Below are 17,392 nucleotides of genomic sequence, written 5' to 3'. Positions count from 1 at the left end.
CAACGTGGCAGAGTCCCAGCAGCAGCAGAGCTGGAGGCCCCCACCCACCACCCCCAGGGCTGGGCCAGGCATTGACCCTTTCATTGCTAGATCAGGGTGTGGAGAGTTTATAGGGTTCCAGGAAAGAATGGGAGCGACAGGAGGGCATGCACGATGCTTGAGGACAGCAGCTCTTTACTCATGGGAGCACCTATTTCAGTATGTTCACAACCCACACACCTGTCCAGGGCACACACCGTCCACATCGGCCCTTAGGTAAAGACCTGGAAGAGATGCTTCCTGAAGTTCCTTCCAGCAATGACAGGGAGGCCCCTAATCCAAGTGACGGAGGGCTCAAAGTGAGACTAAACAAGACTTTGAACTGGAAGGCACTTTTGTTGGTCAGTTACTGTAGCGCAGTTACTTCTACGCTAACCAAGAGAATGACTCTGTACTTGAAACTCTGGCCAGCGATGAACTCACTTTCGAAGAACTCTGGAGTACACAGTGGTTTTCCTGCCTATGCTTTTTCACAAAAGCTGTCAGGAGCCTAGAATTCCGCACCAGGAAATACAGACAAATATTTGCTATCATCAGAAACCTGTAAAACCGGTCACCAAGTGAAGAGCATGTGTGAACAGGGTCTCTGATGAGACATTGGTCCCTGCAAGGCCTGCTGGATACTCACTTTTCAATCATCATCAGTTGGCCACACTGGAATCCAGGCAGCCACGCACATACAGCATGCACTGATGGCAGGCAGCCCCAAGCGGTGTCTCACTTACTTGAAACGAGGAATTAGGCCTGGCAGGTGACTAAGTTGGAATTTCTGAGGTTAATGATCTAGATTAAATAATTTGTGCTACAAAAGATGCTTGAAATTAATATTTGTTGAATATCTACTATGCATTCAACACTCTGTTAGGTGCTGGGAGAAACACAGTCTCTGCCTTCAAGTTGGGGAACTACCATGGCACATGGTGAACAATAAATTGCTTTTCAACAACACTGAAAAATGTAAAGGACCCTAAAAATATACGGTGATATAAAATCTCAAGCCTCACAACCAAAGTAACTTCCAAATAGATGTTTATCTTCATGAGCAATTTCTAAACGCACCTTGAAGCTTTTTCCATCAACAAATATTTGACTCTCCTACCAATCAGTCAATTGGGTACGTGCCCAGCCCTGTGGATTGTTGCCTACAAAGCCAATGATTTTAAACTACACACTGCGAAGAAGAAACACACATGGGTTCTCTCTTGGGTAGGGAGAGCCTAGCCCTGTGGGAACAGTCCGGGCTAGAGCCGTTTCCTCTTGTGTGGGTTTCCAAGATGCCTCCAATCCACGCACCTTCACTCTAGCACCTGTGTCTCTTCTCAATCAACAGACTTCACGTTGGCCCACTCTGTGTTTCAAATACAGATGTCAGCCCTGCACCTAATCACAGCCCAGCAGCCCCCTCAGAACTCAGTGGTGTCCCTCAGCCTGGCCTCCCACAGGGAAAGTCCCATTATCTGAGGCTCTAGACAAGATTCTGTACCCAGAACACAGCTTTCAAGAGGGCACCCAAAGGGGAGCTCCGCGTGGCAAGGAAGGCTCTGAGGCTCAGAGAGGGGGGCAGAGGAGCTTCAGGGATGGGTCTATGGCCTGAGAGAGGAGAGAGGAGAGGGTCTCACCCCTTCTCTACCTCCGGTGCGCCCAGATTCAGAGGAGATTTGGGCAATCACGGGGGTAGAAAAGGAAACCGCACAGCTGCTAAGGAAGACTAGGCAGGGTGATCTGGGACCAGAGTAAGTTGGGAGAAGTGAGAAAGGAAGAGAATGAGGCTGGCGGAAATGTCACGCTCCAGAAAAGCTGAGGCTGAGTCTACAGGGACAGGGGAGGCCCCGCAGGGAGGGTGGGACACTCTCTTCAGAACAACCAGGAATGGACAGTTCCATCTCCCTCTCAAGAACAACTGCACGCCGGGCACAGTGGCTCACGCCTGCAATCCCAGCACTTTGGGAGGCCGAGGCGGGCGGATCACGAGGTCAGGAGATCGAGACCATCCTGGCTAACATGGTGAAACCTCGTCTCTACTGAAAATACAAAAAAATTAGCCGGGCGCAGTGGCTCACTCCTGCAATCCCAGCACTTTGGGAGGCAGAAGCGGGCGGATCACGAGGTCAGGAGATTGAGACCATCCTGGCTAACACAGTGAAACGCCGTCTCTACTAAAAATATGAAAAATTAGTCGGGCATGGTGGCAGTTGCCTGTAATCCCAGCTACTCAGGAGCCTGAGGAAAGAGAATGGCATGAACCCGGGAGGCGGAGCTTGCAGTGAGCGGAGATCGCACCACTGCACTCCAGCCTGGGGGACAGAGTGAGACTCCATCTCAAAAAAAAAAAAAAAAAAAAAAAAAAGAACAACTGCAAAGCGCAGGGCGTCAGGGCTGAATGAGTCTTTGGAGATAATGATGATGATCAGTGTTATCATAACAGACAGCAGCAACCACTATGAACTGAGCACTCACTGTGGGTCACACGCTGCACAGGGCTTTACACAAAGCATCTCATTTAATCCTCACAGCAACCGCTGTGCTAAAGAGGAAACAGAGATGCAAAGAAGTTAAGCCGCTCTCCCAGGGTCACCGAGTTCGTGGCTGACTGGACTGGAACCCAGGTCTTCTGATCACTTCAGATCCTGTGTTTAGTCAGCTGTCTTTTGAATGCAAGCTTCAGATAATTTTTCTTAGCACAGGATCTGTTCTGAATTGTCATTGCTCATTTTATGACCATAAACTACTTTTGTAAATGATTTCTCTTTTATAAAATGGATTAGAGCATGCAATGGTCAAATTTGCCCTAAAGTCCTCTCACACATCTTACGGGAATGATATGGGAGGATGTCCTTCACCATCTAAATAGGCTGTAATTTTGAAATATTTATGAATTGATAGGATCAGAGGATTATGTAAAACTCCTGTACGATCATAATCGCCTCTCTGTCTCACACAAGAATGGGTGTGGGGGTTAACATTGTGAAAATAAAATAGAAAAAGACGGCTCAGGCTGAGTGCAGTGGCTCACGTCTGTAATCCCAGCATTTTGGGAGGCCAAGGCGGGCAGATCACTTGAGGCCAGGAGTTCAAAACCAGTCTGGCCAAGATGTCGAAATCCTGTCTCTACTAAAAATACAAAAATTAGCTGGGCATGGTGGCACGTGCCTGTAGTCCCAGCTACTCAGGAGGCTGAGGCAGGAGAATTGCTTGAACCCAGGAGGCGGAGGTGGCAGTGAGCCCAGATCACGCCACTGCACTCCAGCCTGGGCAACAGAGTGAGACTCTGTCTCAAAAACATAAAAAAAAATAAAAATAAAAAGATGCCTTGGAGTGACCTTGGATGCCTCTTGACTTCCGCATCTAATCAATATCTCTGCAATCTCTCTCACCACCCTCCTGCACACCCCCCCACCCCACTGCCACTGTCATCATCACCTCTGAAGTTCTCTGCAGCCGCCTCCTACCCCAAATCCTCCAACCTATCCTTTACAATGTAGCTAGGGGGACTTTTCTTAAAAATCCCATCAGGTGCCCCTCGGGCTTAAAAGCATTGATGATAGAGACAGAAAGTAGGATGGTGGCAGTTGCCAGGAACTAGGGGGAGGGTAGCATCGGAGGTTAGTGTTAAATGGGTGCAGTTTCAGTTTTACAAGATGAAAGAGTTCTGGAGATGGATGGTGGTGCTGGCTGCACAGCATTTTGAATGCATTTAGTGCCACTGGACTGTACACTTAAAAAGGGTTTACATGGTAAATTTTATGTTATGTATGTTATCACAATAAAAAATCAATTTAAAAAGTATCTGATAATTTCTAATGGTCTCAGGATACAATGTCTTTTCCTCAGGGAGATACTCAAGGGTCCGAAGAATGTGGTTTCAGGCCAGGCGCAGTGACTCATACCTGTAATCCCAGCACTTTTGGAGGCTGAGGAAGGAGAATCGCTTGAGGCCAGGAGCTTGAGACCAGCCTGGGCAACATAGCAAGACCTCTGTCTCTACAAAAATAAGAAAATAAAACAAAATGTAAAACTCAATGGGTTAAAAAAAAACTCAGAAGGTTTTAAAGATTGGGGTAAAAGGAATGTGGTCCCAATCTTTTGTTTTGTTTTGTTTGAGACGGAGTCTCGCTCTTCGCCCAGGTTGGAGTGCAGTGGCGTGATCTCAGCTCACTGCAACCTCCGCCTCCCAAGTTCAAGTGATTCTCCTGCCTCAGCCTTCCAAGTAGCTGGGATTACAGGCACCCACGACCACGCCCGGCTAATTCTTGTATTTTTAGTAGAGATGGGGGTTTCACCATCTTGGCCAGGCTGGTCTCGAACTCCTGACGTCGTGATCCACCCACCTCGGCCTCCCAAAGTGCTGGGATTACAAGCGTGAGCCACCGTGCCCAGCCGTGTGGTCCCAATCTTCAGCAACAACCTCACCTCCCACCTCCTTGCCTGCTGCCCACATGCACACCATATCCCAACAAATCTGTTCCAAAATCGCCACGCCTTCTCATGACTCCTTGCCCTGTACATGCTGTTCCTTCTCTCTGGGATGCACCTCTCCCTCTACCAATGGCTGGGAACATCTTAAGACCCATTTAAATAAGTCATCTCCTCTGCAAAGCCTTCACACCTCCACACACTTGGCACCCGATGTGACCTTCTTCTCAAAGGCACAGGCCATGTCTTTGTCCCCTAGGTCTCCCCAAGGCCTAGCAGACACTCAGTGAATGTTTATTAACTGTTTAATGAATACGAGTTTTGTCCTCATCCTGGGGGAGCTTGACAAGACCTACATAAATGAAGTAATTCATTTCTAAAAAGTGTGATGCAATCTAGAGGTAGAATCGCAACTTCAACAAGAGAGAGATCTTTGTGGGTCACGGAGGAGGGCAAGTCTGGGGAGGGAAAAGCCTTCCAGGTAGGGACATCAATGACAGCAAAGCTCCCCCAACCTTTTCCAGAGAGAGAAAGATGAGATCCAGGCTAAGGCTTTTCCCAGGCTCCAGCTTTTGCACACTGTCCATGCATGGCTTTTGCTTTTTTTTTTCTGCCACGTAGACTGGAAACCCAAGTATAACTGCAGGGGATGTGCTATTTTCAGGCTGCCCAGCCTCTGAAGCCCCTTCCTTTGTTGGAAGAATTCCCCGCTTTATGAACCTTAGTGGGAAGTGGAGCCCACTTTTCACTTTGAAAGGTGTACATTCCAGATACTTACTCCCCCTAGCTTATCTTGAACCTTGGCGTGGCACGTGACTCGGACCTGGCCAGACACCACAGCCAGGATTTTGAATCTGGAGTGAATGACCCAAAGCAGCAGGGACTGTGGAGAATTCCTTTGTGGGGCAGCAGCAAGGCTTAGTGTCATGGATTTCAAATGAGAGTAGAGGGTCCTGGACCGTGTCGGCGTCCAGGTTCCAGGACCTGGTGCCACGGAGTCAGTGCAGCATGGTCTGATGTCTGCTGTTCAGTGGCAGAAGCAACAGGGATCTCCCTGGGAGAGGTCTGCAGGGTGATTTTGGCCATTGGTTCTAGCTGCACACCCTCCCAGCGCCTGCTCATTCGATAAGCCTGCTTCACCAGCCTTCCTCACAATCAGTAAGAAGTAATAGTCTTATATTCAAATCCACTAGAGTTGGTTTCTTTCGCTTGCAAATAAGGACTCTGATATAGTAATTAATACAGACCAAGCAAGGCCCCTGGAATTCAGGAAAGGGAAGGAAAATATGCATTTTCTGAGCATCTACTAGGTGCTTACTAGTGTTCTACAAAATTCAGCTAATGTTCCTAGATGTGCTTTTTTCCTGGATGCTTTGAGGATCTTGGAGTGATAATTTCATCTGTGCTGCCCAGACCTCTGAGAGTGCAGGGGCTGTCAGAGCCCTGCTTCATCAGCATCATTTCCAGGCCGAGGTTTCAGCATCAGCCTCCAGATCCCAGCCCTGGCAGGGACAGCTTATATGGCAGCTACAACTGTCCAGCAAAGACCCAAGACTGCCTGCTTTGGCCTGGTGAGCTAAATCCTCATTTCACTAACTTCTTGCGTTTTTTATTTTAATCTCTCTCATTTGGTCTCATGTCCTAAATCTCTTGGCTCAAGAAGCGACAAGTTGCTACCTTTTGTCCTCTATTTCAGGAAGTTTGTGTGACGGTTGTAGCAGCTGGATTCCGTCTGAACACATTCCAGCAATTTGTCTGCTGCAGGATCCTTCAGAGTGAGGCTGGCCACATCAGTCTGGTCAGCTGCATCTCTGAGTTTCAGAACCAGGATCAGGGAGTGTGGCTGGGATCGTTTGCATCAATTATAGCAATTGCTGTCCCTAGGCAGAGAGCATCTCATATTAATAGCTGAGTGGGTTGGCAAAACTCCTTTTTTTTCCAGAGGTGACTTTTGATATAACAAACTTTTATGTATTTTGTCTAGATGAATGAGGGCCCCAAATATCTTACCTGGGTTTTCCCTGGTTTAAGGAAATCCAGAAGAGAAATCATCCAAATAAATCAGCGTGATTGATCACATTCAAAAGGGTTCTTTTCTCTCTCTGCAAAAGGTTTCTTCACTGGGTTCTCTTAACTGTCAGGCCTTCTGGTGCAGTTGAGAATTTGTTTACAGAACTGGACATGACTAAGGGGAAGGAGGGCGGTCAGGGGCTGCCTGGATCTTCCAGCCCCTCCCAGCTAGAGTCACGGGTGCCTCCAGCTGTGTGCTGGAGCCTGGCCAGAGCCTGAAGCTGTCCTGACCAGCAGCCTCAGCTCTGTCCTTTGGGCACTGTGCACTGGCCTATGGACTCCTCCTTCCATCCTTTGTGAATTCGTGCATTTGGCCATTGCTTTCTTGGCACCCAGCGTATCTGCCAAGCACTCTGCTAGGCACTGGGGCTACACAGGCAAATCACATGGACGTAGCACGCCCTCTCTGAGATACCTTCAGCTATTGGACAAGTGGACCAGGGGAAGCAACATCAAGTAACTACCTGCTTGGGGAATCCAGGATGGGGGAGCTCACCTAGCTGAGAGGGGCTCAGAGCCCTAGAACACCCCATGGAGAAAGTGCCATTTCCTTGAAGACCTGAGAGATGAGCAGGTAGCCAGGGGAAGATGGCAGCAGAGCAAAGCCCAGAAGAGGCTGAAGCAGAGAGAAGGAATGGAGCCAGGAGAGAAGACAGGAGAGGAGTGGGGGAGCTCCTCACCAGCCTTCCTCCGTGGAGCTTCCTAACAACCCTGCGGGGTAGGACTCTTACTACCATCATCCCCATTTTATAAATGGGGAAACTGAGGCACAGAGCGGCCAGCTGACCTGCCCAAAGTCACATATCTTGTGAGTAGTGCAGCCATGATTTGAACCCAGGTCATCTGGCTCCTGAGTCCAACCACCATGCTGAGCTGCAGCTGAGTAACGGTGAAGGGTTTTAAGTCACAAAGCAAAATGAAGGTCACACTTGCACTTTTCACAGAGCTGCTCCTGCTGAAGGGGTTGAGGGTAGCACAGTGAGTCTCCCAGCATGGCCTGTGCTTTTAAAGTGCCCATGTGCTTGGTGCTGAGCTGGTTAGGGCAGGAGGGGGAGAGGCAGAAGAGTCCTCTGCACCATGGCTGCCTAGCTCTCCTGGCTGGTCACATTCCGACATTGTATCCAGATCCACCTTTTCGGGAGTCAGCCCTGTCCAAAAGCAATTCCAGCACAAACAGAAACACCTGTGCCTTCCTCCCCTTTCCCAGGGGCCCCTCCACTGGGCAGCAGGAAGGATGGAAACACAGACTGGCATGACCTCAGTTGCTGTCCCCACAGGGGTCCCTTTCACTCCATAGCCTTCTGGTGCCTGAGCCCACACTCATGTTTCCCTTCTCTCAACTCCCATAGCACTTATTGTGAGAAGCACACAATCAACTCCTGTGTGCATTGTTCTCTAGCTGTTTTGTGGTCATTCATCTCTTCAACTATCTCGAATTGTCTGGAGATGAGTCATAATTAGGGAGATGATTATGTACCAAAACTTAAAAAAATCCCAACTCTCATATATGTCCAGAGAGACAGAGAGAGAAGGTATATGTCTACATATAATATGAAGCAAAAAATATGAAATATAATGACCATTTTTTTTGTGATGATTAAGGCTAATTGCTGCGTACCTAGGGCCTGCCTGGGATATATGGGCCATGTACCCCGATGCTAACTGGCCCTGGCCTCTCCAGGTTTTTCATGAGCTCTTTATGGGTTTGTTGTCTCTGCCTTGTCCACTGATTGCCTTGCATAGACCATAGATATGGGCTCCTCAAAGCCCTAGCTGTTACTCTACTCAAAATCATCTGCGGAAATGTGGAGTAGATTTCAGATGAAGTGTCGGGACTAATTCTGCTCCCACCTTCTAAGTAACCACTTCTAGACTGCTGTGGACCAGGAAACCTGGTAACTGAACATCTTGCAACTGAAGAGAAAGGGGATCTTCCCTGCCTTTGCTGACCTCCAGGTTAGGCACCCACCTCTGTGCTCTCGGTCAAGCTCCTTCTAAGCACAGACTGTATCTTAATCATGCTGGAAACCCCAGCCCTTAGGACAGCATCTGGCACGTTGAAGATCTTTAAATATTTTGTGGAATGAATTAGCAGGAAATTGAGTCTGAGTGAGGGCCTGGAGAACACTCCTCTACGTCTTGCATGTGTGAGCATCAGTGTGTGATCTTGCGACAGCTTTCTGATGGCTCAGGGACCTTCTGTTCTGGCTTGAAGGTTCTGGGTGTATTCTTCCGAGCAGATGCAATCCTGTATCTACGGAACATCTGCTGAAGACACAGCTCTGCCTTGCGTGCTTTCCTTCTGTGACTTTACTATTCTAGTGACTCTGCATATGGTTGGGCACATACTAAGCACACAATGCCAATGGTCAGCATTATTGGAAATGCGTCCTGAATGGTCTGGATCCACTCTCCAAACAAGCCTTCACTGAATGCCTTCCGTGGCCCAGTAAAGTCACCAGGGACATGGAGGTCAGATGTAACTTCTCCCACTGGGAGGTAGCAGTCTGATGGTGGCAGTGGGAGAGGAGGGGAACCATGTAGACAATTAAAGGGAACAGACAAGGGACAAGAAGGCACCTCTTTCGCTGCTGGATGTGTCGAGCGTAAAAACAGAGCCTTCCGTATGAAAATAAAATCAGTTGCTGACTCAGGGGTAGATACATATTCATCCACCCACCAACCTCAAATAACTAAACATTGTTCCCAGGCCAGCAAACACTGGAGCTTCTGTCTTCCATTGCAGGTAGCACAGATTCTTGTTTGTTGTAGTAGAAGATAAAAATCAGACAGACCTGTTTTTAAGTCTTTACTCTAAAGTTTACCAATTGGGATAGGTAATTGAACCTCTCTGAGCATCAGTTTAGTCAGCCAGTGGGAACTATAATACCTAAGTTTACCCAGCTGTTGAGCGTTCACCGAATACAAGATAACAAACAAACAATCAAACAAACAAACCCTTACCCTCAAGAGGCTCATGGTCTGGTAAGGGAGAGAAGAGAGACTGATATGTTGCAGACATACATTAAAAGCTATTAAAAGATATCCATATCTGGCCAGGCGTGGTGGCTAACGCCTGTATTCCCAGCCACTTTGGGAAGTCAAGGTGGGCAGATCACCTGAGGTCAGGGGTTCAAGACCAGCCTGACCAACATGGTGAAACCCCATCTCTACCAAAAATACAAAAATTAGCCAGGCGTGGTGGCATGTGCCTGTAGTCCCAGCTACTTAGGAGGCTGAGGCAGAAGAATTGCTTGAACCCGGGAAGTAAAGGTTGCAGTGAGCCGAGATGATGCCACTGCACTCCAGCCTGGGCAACAGAGTGAGGCTCCATTTAAAAAAAAAAAAAAAAGATATCTATATCATTTGTTGGGTAAAAAAAAAAAAGGTTACTAAATGCATTCAACAGAATACACACATGTATTTATATGTATGTGTACGTGTGTAGAGAGAGAGATTTATTATAAGGAATCTGCTCACACAGTTATGGATGCTGGCAAGTTCAAAACCTGCAGGCCAGCAGGCTGTAGACCCAGGAGAGCTCACGTTCCCTCTCTAGTTCTAAAGGCATCTATGGGGGACCCAGGAAGGGCCGGCGCTTCGGATGGAGTCTGAAGGCAGTCTGCTGGAGAATTCCCTCTTGCTCAAATAAGGATGCTCTTTGTGTGTTCTTTTCAGGTTTCTGATTTGATGAGGCCCACCCACATTAGGGAGTGCAAACTGCTTATTCAAAGTCTACCGATTTAGGCCAGGCACAGTGGCCCATGCCTGTAATCCTAGCACTTTGGGAGGCCGAGGCAGGTGGATCACTTGAGGTCAGGAGTTCAAGACCAGCCTGGCCAACGTGATGAAACCCTGTCTCTACTAAAAATACAAAAATTATCCAGGTGTGGTGGTTCACGCCTATAATTCCAGCCACTCGGGAGGCTGAGGCAGGAGAATCGCTTGAACCAGGGAGGTGGAGGCTGCAGTGAGCCAAGATCACACCACTGCACTCCAGCCTGGGTGACAGAGCGAGACTCTGTCTCAAAAAACAAAACCAAAAAAAACACCACCAACAACAAAGCCCACCGATTTAAATGTTACACCCTCAAAGAAACACCCAGAATAGTGTTTGACTAAGTATCTGGGCATTGTGACCCACCAAGTTGACACATGCAACTAACCATCACCCTGAACAAAGTGAATCAAGTTTCAAACTAAGGAATATGTAGAAAAACTTTCTTGACCAGGCTCCCTTGATTTCCCTGCCTGTGTGTGACTCTACGAAACCTCATTTAGCACCCACAGGCCAGAGTTGGGGGGCAACTTTCTCTGCCCACTGCACAGAAGCACCAATAATAATTATATGAAGAGTTTGGGTGAAAAGTCCCACTCAGATGTTTGCTTGTCACTAAACTAGCTGCCATATGGCAGGAAAGGAAGAAGTTTCTGGTGATCCACTGGTCTGAGCAAATAAATCACTGAAACGATTTATGAGAGTGAGCTTAACCTGAAGGACTCATTCATTCTGAAATGTACATGGAATGTAGCCATTCTGTAGACCATTAACTGCACTAATTACAACAATGATTCAAGAGATAAGCTTTCACTAAACATTTAATAAAGTTCTAAGGCTCCTTGCAGCAGGATAGCATCCTGCCAGCGCCGTACCCCACCTCCAAGCAGAGGGAAAGAAGGAAAGAAGAAAACACTACTTATGGAACACTTGCTATATGCTCAGCATTTCCCTATGTGACAGCTCATCTAATCTCCAAACAACTCTTTGATGTAGCGATGATGATGATGATTTTTGAGACAGGGTCTCACTCTGTTGCCTAGGCTGGAGTGCAGTGGTGCAATCATGGCTCATGCCAGCCTCGACCTTCTGGCCTCAGGCGATCCTCCCATGTTCAGCCTCCCGGGTAGCTGGGACTACACGCATACGCCATCACACCCAGCTAATTTTTATGTTTTTTGTAGAGACAGGTTTTTGACATGTTGCCTACACTGGTCTGGAACTCTTGGGCTCAAGCAATCCACCCACCCCGACCTCCCAAAGTGTTGGGATTACAGACATGAGCCACTGTGCCCAGCTGGGATTATTTTTATAGATTACAGGTAGAGAGAATTGAGTTTCAGAGAAGATCAAGGTATCCAAGGTCAAATCACATATAAATAGCAGGGCTGAATTTAGGGTCTTCTGGCTCCATGTTAATGTGCTCCTTTTTGTTCCAGGAGCTTCTTCATACCAGGTAACTTAGAAAAAATAATAAGAACTTCATAAATAAAGTAATAATTTCTCAGTACTCCCTTTGCTAGCTGTCTGTTCCTTGCACTTCTTCCCAGTATGTTGGATGTGATGCTTAACAGGTTTCACATTTATTAGGGTGAAGCTCCTAGAAGACAGAGGCTGGTCTGATCCATCCTAGGATCTCTACAGCATCTAGCAGAGATCTGGGGAGACTTGGTGAGGCAGCCTCAGCAGTGGTTAAAAAGATGGGCTTTGGCACCCAAACTGCATGGGGTCCATATCCAAGGTTCTGCCGCTCTCTAGCTGTGTGGCCCTGTACGTCATGCTTGACCACCCTGTGCCTTAATTTCCTTGTCTGTGAAATAGAGATAGTGAGTATAATAACACCTACTTTGTAGTTGCATTAAGCAGATTGGATAAGTTAATTCTTGCAAAAGACTTAAAATAGTGCTTGACATATGCAATCACTCAACACAGGTTAGCTCTTTCTGTGTCCAGGGACTTCAAGTTCCCAGAGCCTTGTTTCTCTCCAACCCGAGTTCTTTCAGGCACAGAAGCCTTTAGCTATGTAGAGGGTCCTCTGAATCTTCCTAAAATGCAATTTTATACTGTGTTATTGGTTGGAAGCAGTTTTTACCCATGATTCCAGATGATTGCAACTAGATGAGTTGGTGTTCAATAAATATTTGATTGAATGAAAGCAGAAATTTCAGAGACTAAGGTACAGAAAGCAGCAAAAACTTGCCCAAGGTCACTGGGGGAGACCACAGCACAGCCTAGACTTTCTGACAAAGAATTTAGTGTGCTTGCTCCTTCTGGTAGTCCCTCTCTACCACAGAGGTTCCATCCCCTGACAATTTCCTCTCCTGGGTCTCTATCCCCCATCCACCTCCACTGGCTTCTCCCCTTGCCCGGGTTGCCTCTAATTTTGGTGAGCTTGAAATTCACTGGTCATACAGAAGGCATTTTATCTGACCTTCCACATGCAAATTCTTTCCATTGGGATTTCTCGGTGTCCAGCTCCACCCCAGCCCACAGGGCCATAAACACTCATGTGTCTGTAGCGGGGCCCCAGGGATTCCAGAAATAACAGCAGGGCCCTCCATTAGAAGGCTGGAACATAGTAAGGCATTTCTGCATTAAGACACAGGCCCTTTCCAATCCAGGCCGCTCCTGTCTGTCAAAGCACAAAGCAACCTTCACAAGTCAGGACAGGGAGGGGCAGTCAAGAGGGAGTCTGAATTTCTGGAAAGTCGGCACCTTCTCCTCCCATCTGTCTGCACTCTCAAATCTCCCATTCTAGAGATTCTCCGGATTTGCTCCAGTCTCCACTCAGAATGGGAAATTCTTTATGATCCATTCTCCTTAGACCTGCTGGAATCGGGATCATAGCAGCGTGAACCCAGAGGGCAATTCTCATCTTAAGATGGCACAGGGACCACGCGCCAGACGGGCAGGGCAGCCACCCTACCTGGATGGAGTTAGGGAACTGGGGAAGTGCAAGGAGAGACAGGAGTGGTTTAAGAGGAAAGGGAGCTGCCAGGGATGACCCTGAATGGGAGGGGCCTGGGGGAATCTTTCTCGCTTCAGCAGGGTGTTCCCCAGGAGGAGAAAATCAGAAATCAACATCCAGGGAGAGGATTTCAGCTTTTCAAGTGACCTCTCACAAATAATACCAGAAACAAAAGCGTGTGCACATGTGACAACGATGTGAAAAATGATGTATTTAGGTGCATAACCTGGAAAGCCTAAAAGATACATAAAAATTGCTTTTTTTTTGCGGGGAGAGATGTTATGGGCAGGGTTTTTTTTTGCGGGGGTGGGAAGGGGTAGTAATAGGTGTTTTCCTGCAAATTGTGCTTAATGTCATTTCTCATTTTAAAGAAAACCACAATACTTGGCATTGTCACAGAAACTCCCCTGGATCTTCTGGGACCTACCTTTTCACAAGGGAATTTTTTGTTTTAGGATGCCCATCTGAAAACTTGAATTTATCATGTAAATGCCATACTGAAGACACCGTCTCCAGAATCAATTCTTCTTTAATGGGGATGCGGTTTGCTTAATTCGGAGCCCTAATGGCAACGTCATTAAGGTCTGGGTTTAGTGTCTTGGGATCCAAACCTTTGTCACGGATAGAAAGGTGGAGGAAAGAAAGGCCCCCGTGCTCTAAAACAGCTGAATATGTCACCCTCCGAAGTCCAGCCTCGGCCAGAGCCCGTGAGATGCAATGCACCATCCGCAGCGGGAGACGCAGCCGCCGCCTAGGAGGTCGTGCGCGCCTCTGGGTCTCGTGCCGCACCCAGAAGTGCCGGGGTGGCGGGGAGGCTGAGGGGAGTTGGTAACGGCATCGCCATGGCAACAGTGACGTCCTTTTACCCTGGATCTAATTGGAGGAAACCCCGTGGCCGAAGCCGCAGCCTGCCGGCCAACCGAACTTCCCCGTACCGACCCACCCTCCTAGCCTCCGCGTTCCCTCCCGCTCCGCCCCCCTCGCCCCCTTCCGCGCGCTCGGTCCTCATTGGCCAGCGGCGCGCTGGGGGCGGGACTCTCGGGAGAAGCTCGGCGCATCATTGGGCGGTGGACCGCCCCTCGGCCCCGGGGTAGGCTGACACGGGAGGGTCCTCAGCTAAAGCCAAAAGCAGATCAAAGTGGTGGGACTCGCGTCGCGGCCGCGGAGACGTGAAGGTGAGCGCCTGGGTCGGCCCGCGGGCTTCCTCCGGCCGCGCTCGGATTGAGGGCCGGGCGGAGGTGCCGCCCTTGAGAGCAGCCGGTTGTCGATGCCGCTCCCCTCAGGGACGGCTCCGGGCGGGAAGGTGCGGGGCCAACGGTCGCTTCCATCTTGGGCCGGCCGGGCGGGGGTGGCGGGAGCGGCCGCGGCTCGGGCTCCCTGCGCGCGGGGCCTCCGCGCCGCCCCCGCCTCCTCCAGCCGCGGGCCGCGGCCTCCCCGGGTGCCCAGCGGGGGAGGGGGCGGGGGAGAGGGAAATTCAAGCGGCCGCGTGTGCGGGAGACAAAAGCGGGCGGCGGGCCGCATTGTCTGACGGCGCTCCCTCTCTGCTTTTTGTTCTCGCCTCGCCGCCCCGCCCCTCCGCAGCTCTCGAGGCTCCTCCCGCTGCGGGTCGGCGCTCGCCCTCGCTCTCCTCGCCCTCCGCCCCGGCCCCGGCCCCGCGCCCGCCATGGAGAAGACTGAGCTGATCCAGAAGGCCAAGCTGGCCGAGCAGGCCGAGCGCTACGACGACATGGCCACCTGCATGAAGGCAGTGACCGAGCAGGGCGCCGAGCTGTCCAACGAGGAGCGCAACCTGCTCTCCGTGGCCTACAAGAACGTGGTCGGGGGCCGCAGGTCCGCCTGGAGGGTCATCTCTAGCATCGAGCAGAAGACCGACACCTCCGACAAGAAGTTGCAGCTGATTAAGGACTATCGGGAGAAAGTGGAGTCCGAGCTGAGATCCATCTGCACCACGGTGCTGGTGAGTCCTCGGCGCGGGGAGCAGGGGAGGCCTTTTGTGAGATGCTTTTCATTGAGAGTTTCGCGGGCACGGAAACAAACGTGAGCCGGGGCTTGCCGGACTGTCTGCTGGGGTGGAGGGTTTTAGGTGAGCCCTGACTTCCCTACTGTGTCCCTCCGGTTGTTGAGACTCAAGAAGCCGCTTTTCCAAGGATAAGTCCTTTTTTTTCGCCCCAGATGCTGGGTAGCTACCAAACGATGGAACTTGGAAACATCCAAGTAGGTCTCTGCGAGACTGAAAGGCGTTTTTAAGTTTCTTGTGCGGGGAGACTGCGTCCTGAGATCTGTGAGCCCTTTAAATGTATTCAGTCGGTTCACAAGCTTCAGGCAGTTGAAAGAAGGCGCAGGCACCTTTTTGTTACAGACAATGTAGTAGGGATTTTTTCCCAAACCCAGTAATGGAAATTTACTTAGAAAATCTGAACAGATACTTTATTTTTCAAGTAAGAGTATCTGTTGTGCTCCCCCCCACCCCCCATAAACAGGAGAGGAGGGGAGTTCGGGAAATGTGAAAAGGACACAGCTGTATCTGAAGAACACAATGTCCTGGTAAATTTCAACATTTAATAACATTTCCTTGCTGTTGCACACCTGTGCTTAAACACTAGTGTTGAAGTGAATTCGTTTCCAGTGTGGAGCAGACAAGGAAAGCTTTCCAGGTTTTGAACTGTCCAGTCTTAGCAAGGACGATTGTTGGGTGGAGTAGGTGGCTGCTGTGATTCACCCTTATTAGTGAGAGAGAACATTTTTAGCTTTGTCATTCCATGGATCTTTTGATCCGTAGGATAAGTTTTTAAAACTGAAATACCAGCATTATATCCAGGAGTGTTTTTAAATGTTTCAGTGCTGCCAAGAGTCATTTCTATGAATAAAATGGGAAATAATCTCATATGGTTTGCCTTTTAAGTGTCACTTTTACAAGAGGCCTACTTATTTTTGATGTGTTTGTGCACATCATATTTTAGGTGGGCTTTGATAGACAAGCATACTAGACTGGGGATTTTTCAAAAGGGAATGGAAGAAATAATTTCTCCCTGGCCTCCTCCCCCACCCCCACCCCCCAAGCCGCCTTTCTTCATCTCATCAGAATGGTGGGGCAGGGAATATGTTCCCCACCCCTTGTTTAAAAAAAAAAAATCCACGAAACTTTTTTAACCTATCTATTTTTCTAATACGATGACAGGCGATCCGGACAAAATCATGGCTGATGGAAATAACTGGTAAAGAGGCAAAGAAAGTAATGCAGACAGTGTGTACTAAAGTGGAGAAAACTTAAGATTATTTACTTTATGAAGTCAAAACTTCGTTGTATTCTTCCGTGTGCTCTTAGCTTCCAGTCCCTGCTTGGCATTGAAGAAGCACTTGTAAAAGCTTTTTGGACTGAATTGCTCGTATTAAAAAATTTTGCCAACTTGAAAGTAGTGGTAGACTTCAACTTGAGTAACATATGGTAATGGCTGTTAACAGCATTATCTGTTACCAAGGGAAGACTCATAAGAATTCCATATGTTAAGGTTTTCTATGTATGTATTTTGGATACTCTTACAGCATATTTCATTTCTGTTCAGTTTATTGCTTTTCAATTAGTTACCTTGAAGCAATTCAGAATCACCGCGTGATTTTTCTTGTTCTCGAGCAAGGTGACTCTGAGCCAAAGGAATATTCGTTTTATTTTGTGGCTCTTATAAATTCTGCTTTTTATGATGGCGTAAGTCGGGGAAGAGTTTTGCTTAGTTGATACGTAGCTTGAGAGAGAGACCAGGTGTTATTAGAATAGAACTTTCATACAGACCATTTCAATGGGGACAACCCCTGAATTTAGGACAGTCTCTTTTATATACTGAGAAGACATAGAATAGTTTAGTTTGATGAATCCGAGACACCAAGGCATAAATGAAATATTCATAAAATGGCTTAAGAGGCTAACTGGGGCTTGGTGGCCAACCTATAAAAAATATCTTGGGAAAGCACTTCTTCAAGTTGGCAACTGTATTGAGAGCTTTCTGTGTGCCAGGCACTGTGCTCTGAGCAATATGGGGAGGAACAAAACAGAACCGTGGATTTTGCCCTCTGATGATTTATAATTTAGAGAGCATGTGAGAGATACACAAACATAAATACCACAATAT

At 48.5% G+C, this 17,392-nt stretch overlaps 1 protein-coding gene and 1 long non-coding RNA gene across 10 annotated transcripts in view, besides 6 other annotated features; one reads left to right on the top strand and one right to left on the bottom strand.

Annotated features, from left to right (window-relative positions):
- Window positions 1–6,639, bottom strand: part of LOC105373418 (uncharacterized) — a 74,555-nt gene extending 67,916 nt beyond the window's left edge. For 5 of the 9 annotated variants that reach the window (NR_187866.1, NR_187863.1, NR_187865.1 and 2 more), the window contains exons 1-2: window positions 6,463–6,639; window positions 3,927–4,020 (exon numbers count right to left, since the gene is read on the bottom strand). This is a non-coding gene — a long non-coding RNA (uncharacterized LOC105373418). Of the gene's footprint in view, window positions 1–3,926; window positions 4,021–6,129; window positions 6,333–6,462 lie in introns of all 9 variants that reach the window. The other 4 variants (NR_187864.1, NR_187862.1, NR_187869.1 and 1 more) reach the window with 2 other exon arrangements.
- Window positions 3,562–3,611: an enhancer, noted in NCBI's record as "active region_15284". NCBI's record gives its function as "activates an Ori minimal core promoter by ATAC-STARR-seq in GM12878 lymphoblastoid cells {active_cell/tissue: GM12878}" and the evidence as "EXISTENCE:reporter gene assay evidence [ECO:0000049][PMID:35858748]".
- Window positions 14,066–14,235: a silencer, noted in NCBI's record as "silent region_11139". NCBI's record gives its function as "represses an Ori minimal core promoter by ATAC-STARR-seq in GM12878 lymphoblastoid cells {active_cell/tissue: GM12878}" and the evidence as "EXISTENCE:reporter gene assay evidence [ECO:0000049][PMID:35858748]".
- Window positions 14,286–14,385: a silencer, noted in NCBI's record as "silent region_11138". NCBI's record gives its function as "represses an Ori minimal core promoter by ATAC-STARR-seq in GM12878 lymphoblastoid cells {active_cell/tissue: GM12878}" and the evidence as "EXISTENCE:reporter gene assay evidence [ECO:0000049][PMID:35858748]".
- Window positions 14,387–17,392, top strand: part of YWHAQ (tyrosine 3-monooxygenase/tryptophan 5-monooxygenase activation protein theta) — a 47,031-nt gene continuing 44,025 nt past the window's right edge. Inside the window, exons 1-2 of the mRNA NM_006826.4 lie at window positions 14,387–14,443; window positions 14,850–15,225. Coding sequence (NP_006817.1) covers window positions 14,932–15,225 — 294 coding nt within the window. The 5' untranslated portion in view covers window positions 14,387–14,443; window positions 14,850–14,931. The remainder of the gene's footprint in view (window positions 14,444–14,849; window positions 15,226–17,392) is intronic.
- Window positions 14,586–14,935: a silencer, noted in NCBI's record as "silent region_11137". NCBI's record gives its function as "represses an Ori minimal core promoter by ATAC-STARR-seq in GM12878 lymphoblastoid cells {active_cell/tissue: GM12878}" and the evidence as "EXISTENCE:reporter gene assay evidence [ECO:0000049][PMID:35858748]".
- Window positions 14,899–15,801: an enhancer, noted in NCBI's record as "H3K27ac hESC enhancer chr2:9769712-9770614 (GRCh37/hg19 assembly coordinates)". NCBI's record gives its function as "activates a minimal SCP1, AML or CMV promoter by ChIP-STARR-seq in naive H9 embryonic stem cells {active_cell/tissue: H9 hESC(naive)}" and the evidence as "EXISTENCE:reporter gene assay evidence [ECO:0000049][PMID:30033119]".
- Window positions 15,056–15,155: an enhancer, noted in NCBI's record as "active region_15283". NCBI's record gives its function as "activates an Ori minimal core promoter by ATAC-STARR-seq in GM12878 lymphoblastoid cells {active_cell/tissue: GM12878}" and the evidence as "EXISTENCE:reporter gene assay evidence [ECO:0000049][PMID:35858748]".

The sequence above is a fragment of the Homo sapiens genome, chromosome 2 (assembly GCF_000001405.40).
Source record: "Homo sapiens chromosome 2, GRCh38.p14 Primary Assembly".
Classification (NCBI taxonomy): domain Eukaryota; kingdom Metazoa; phylum Chordata; class Mammalia; order Primates; family Hominidae; genus Homo; species Homo sapiens.
This window is presented reverse-complemented; position numbering and strand designations above follow the sequence as displayed.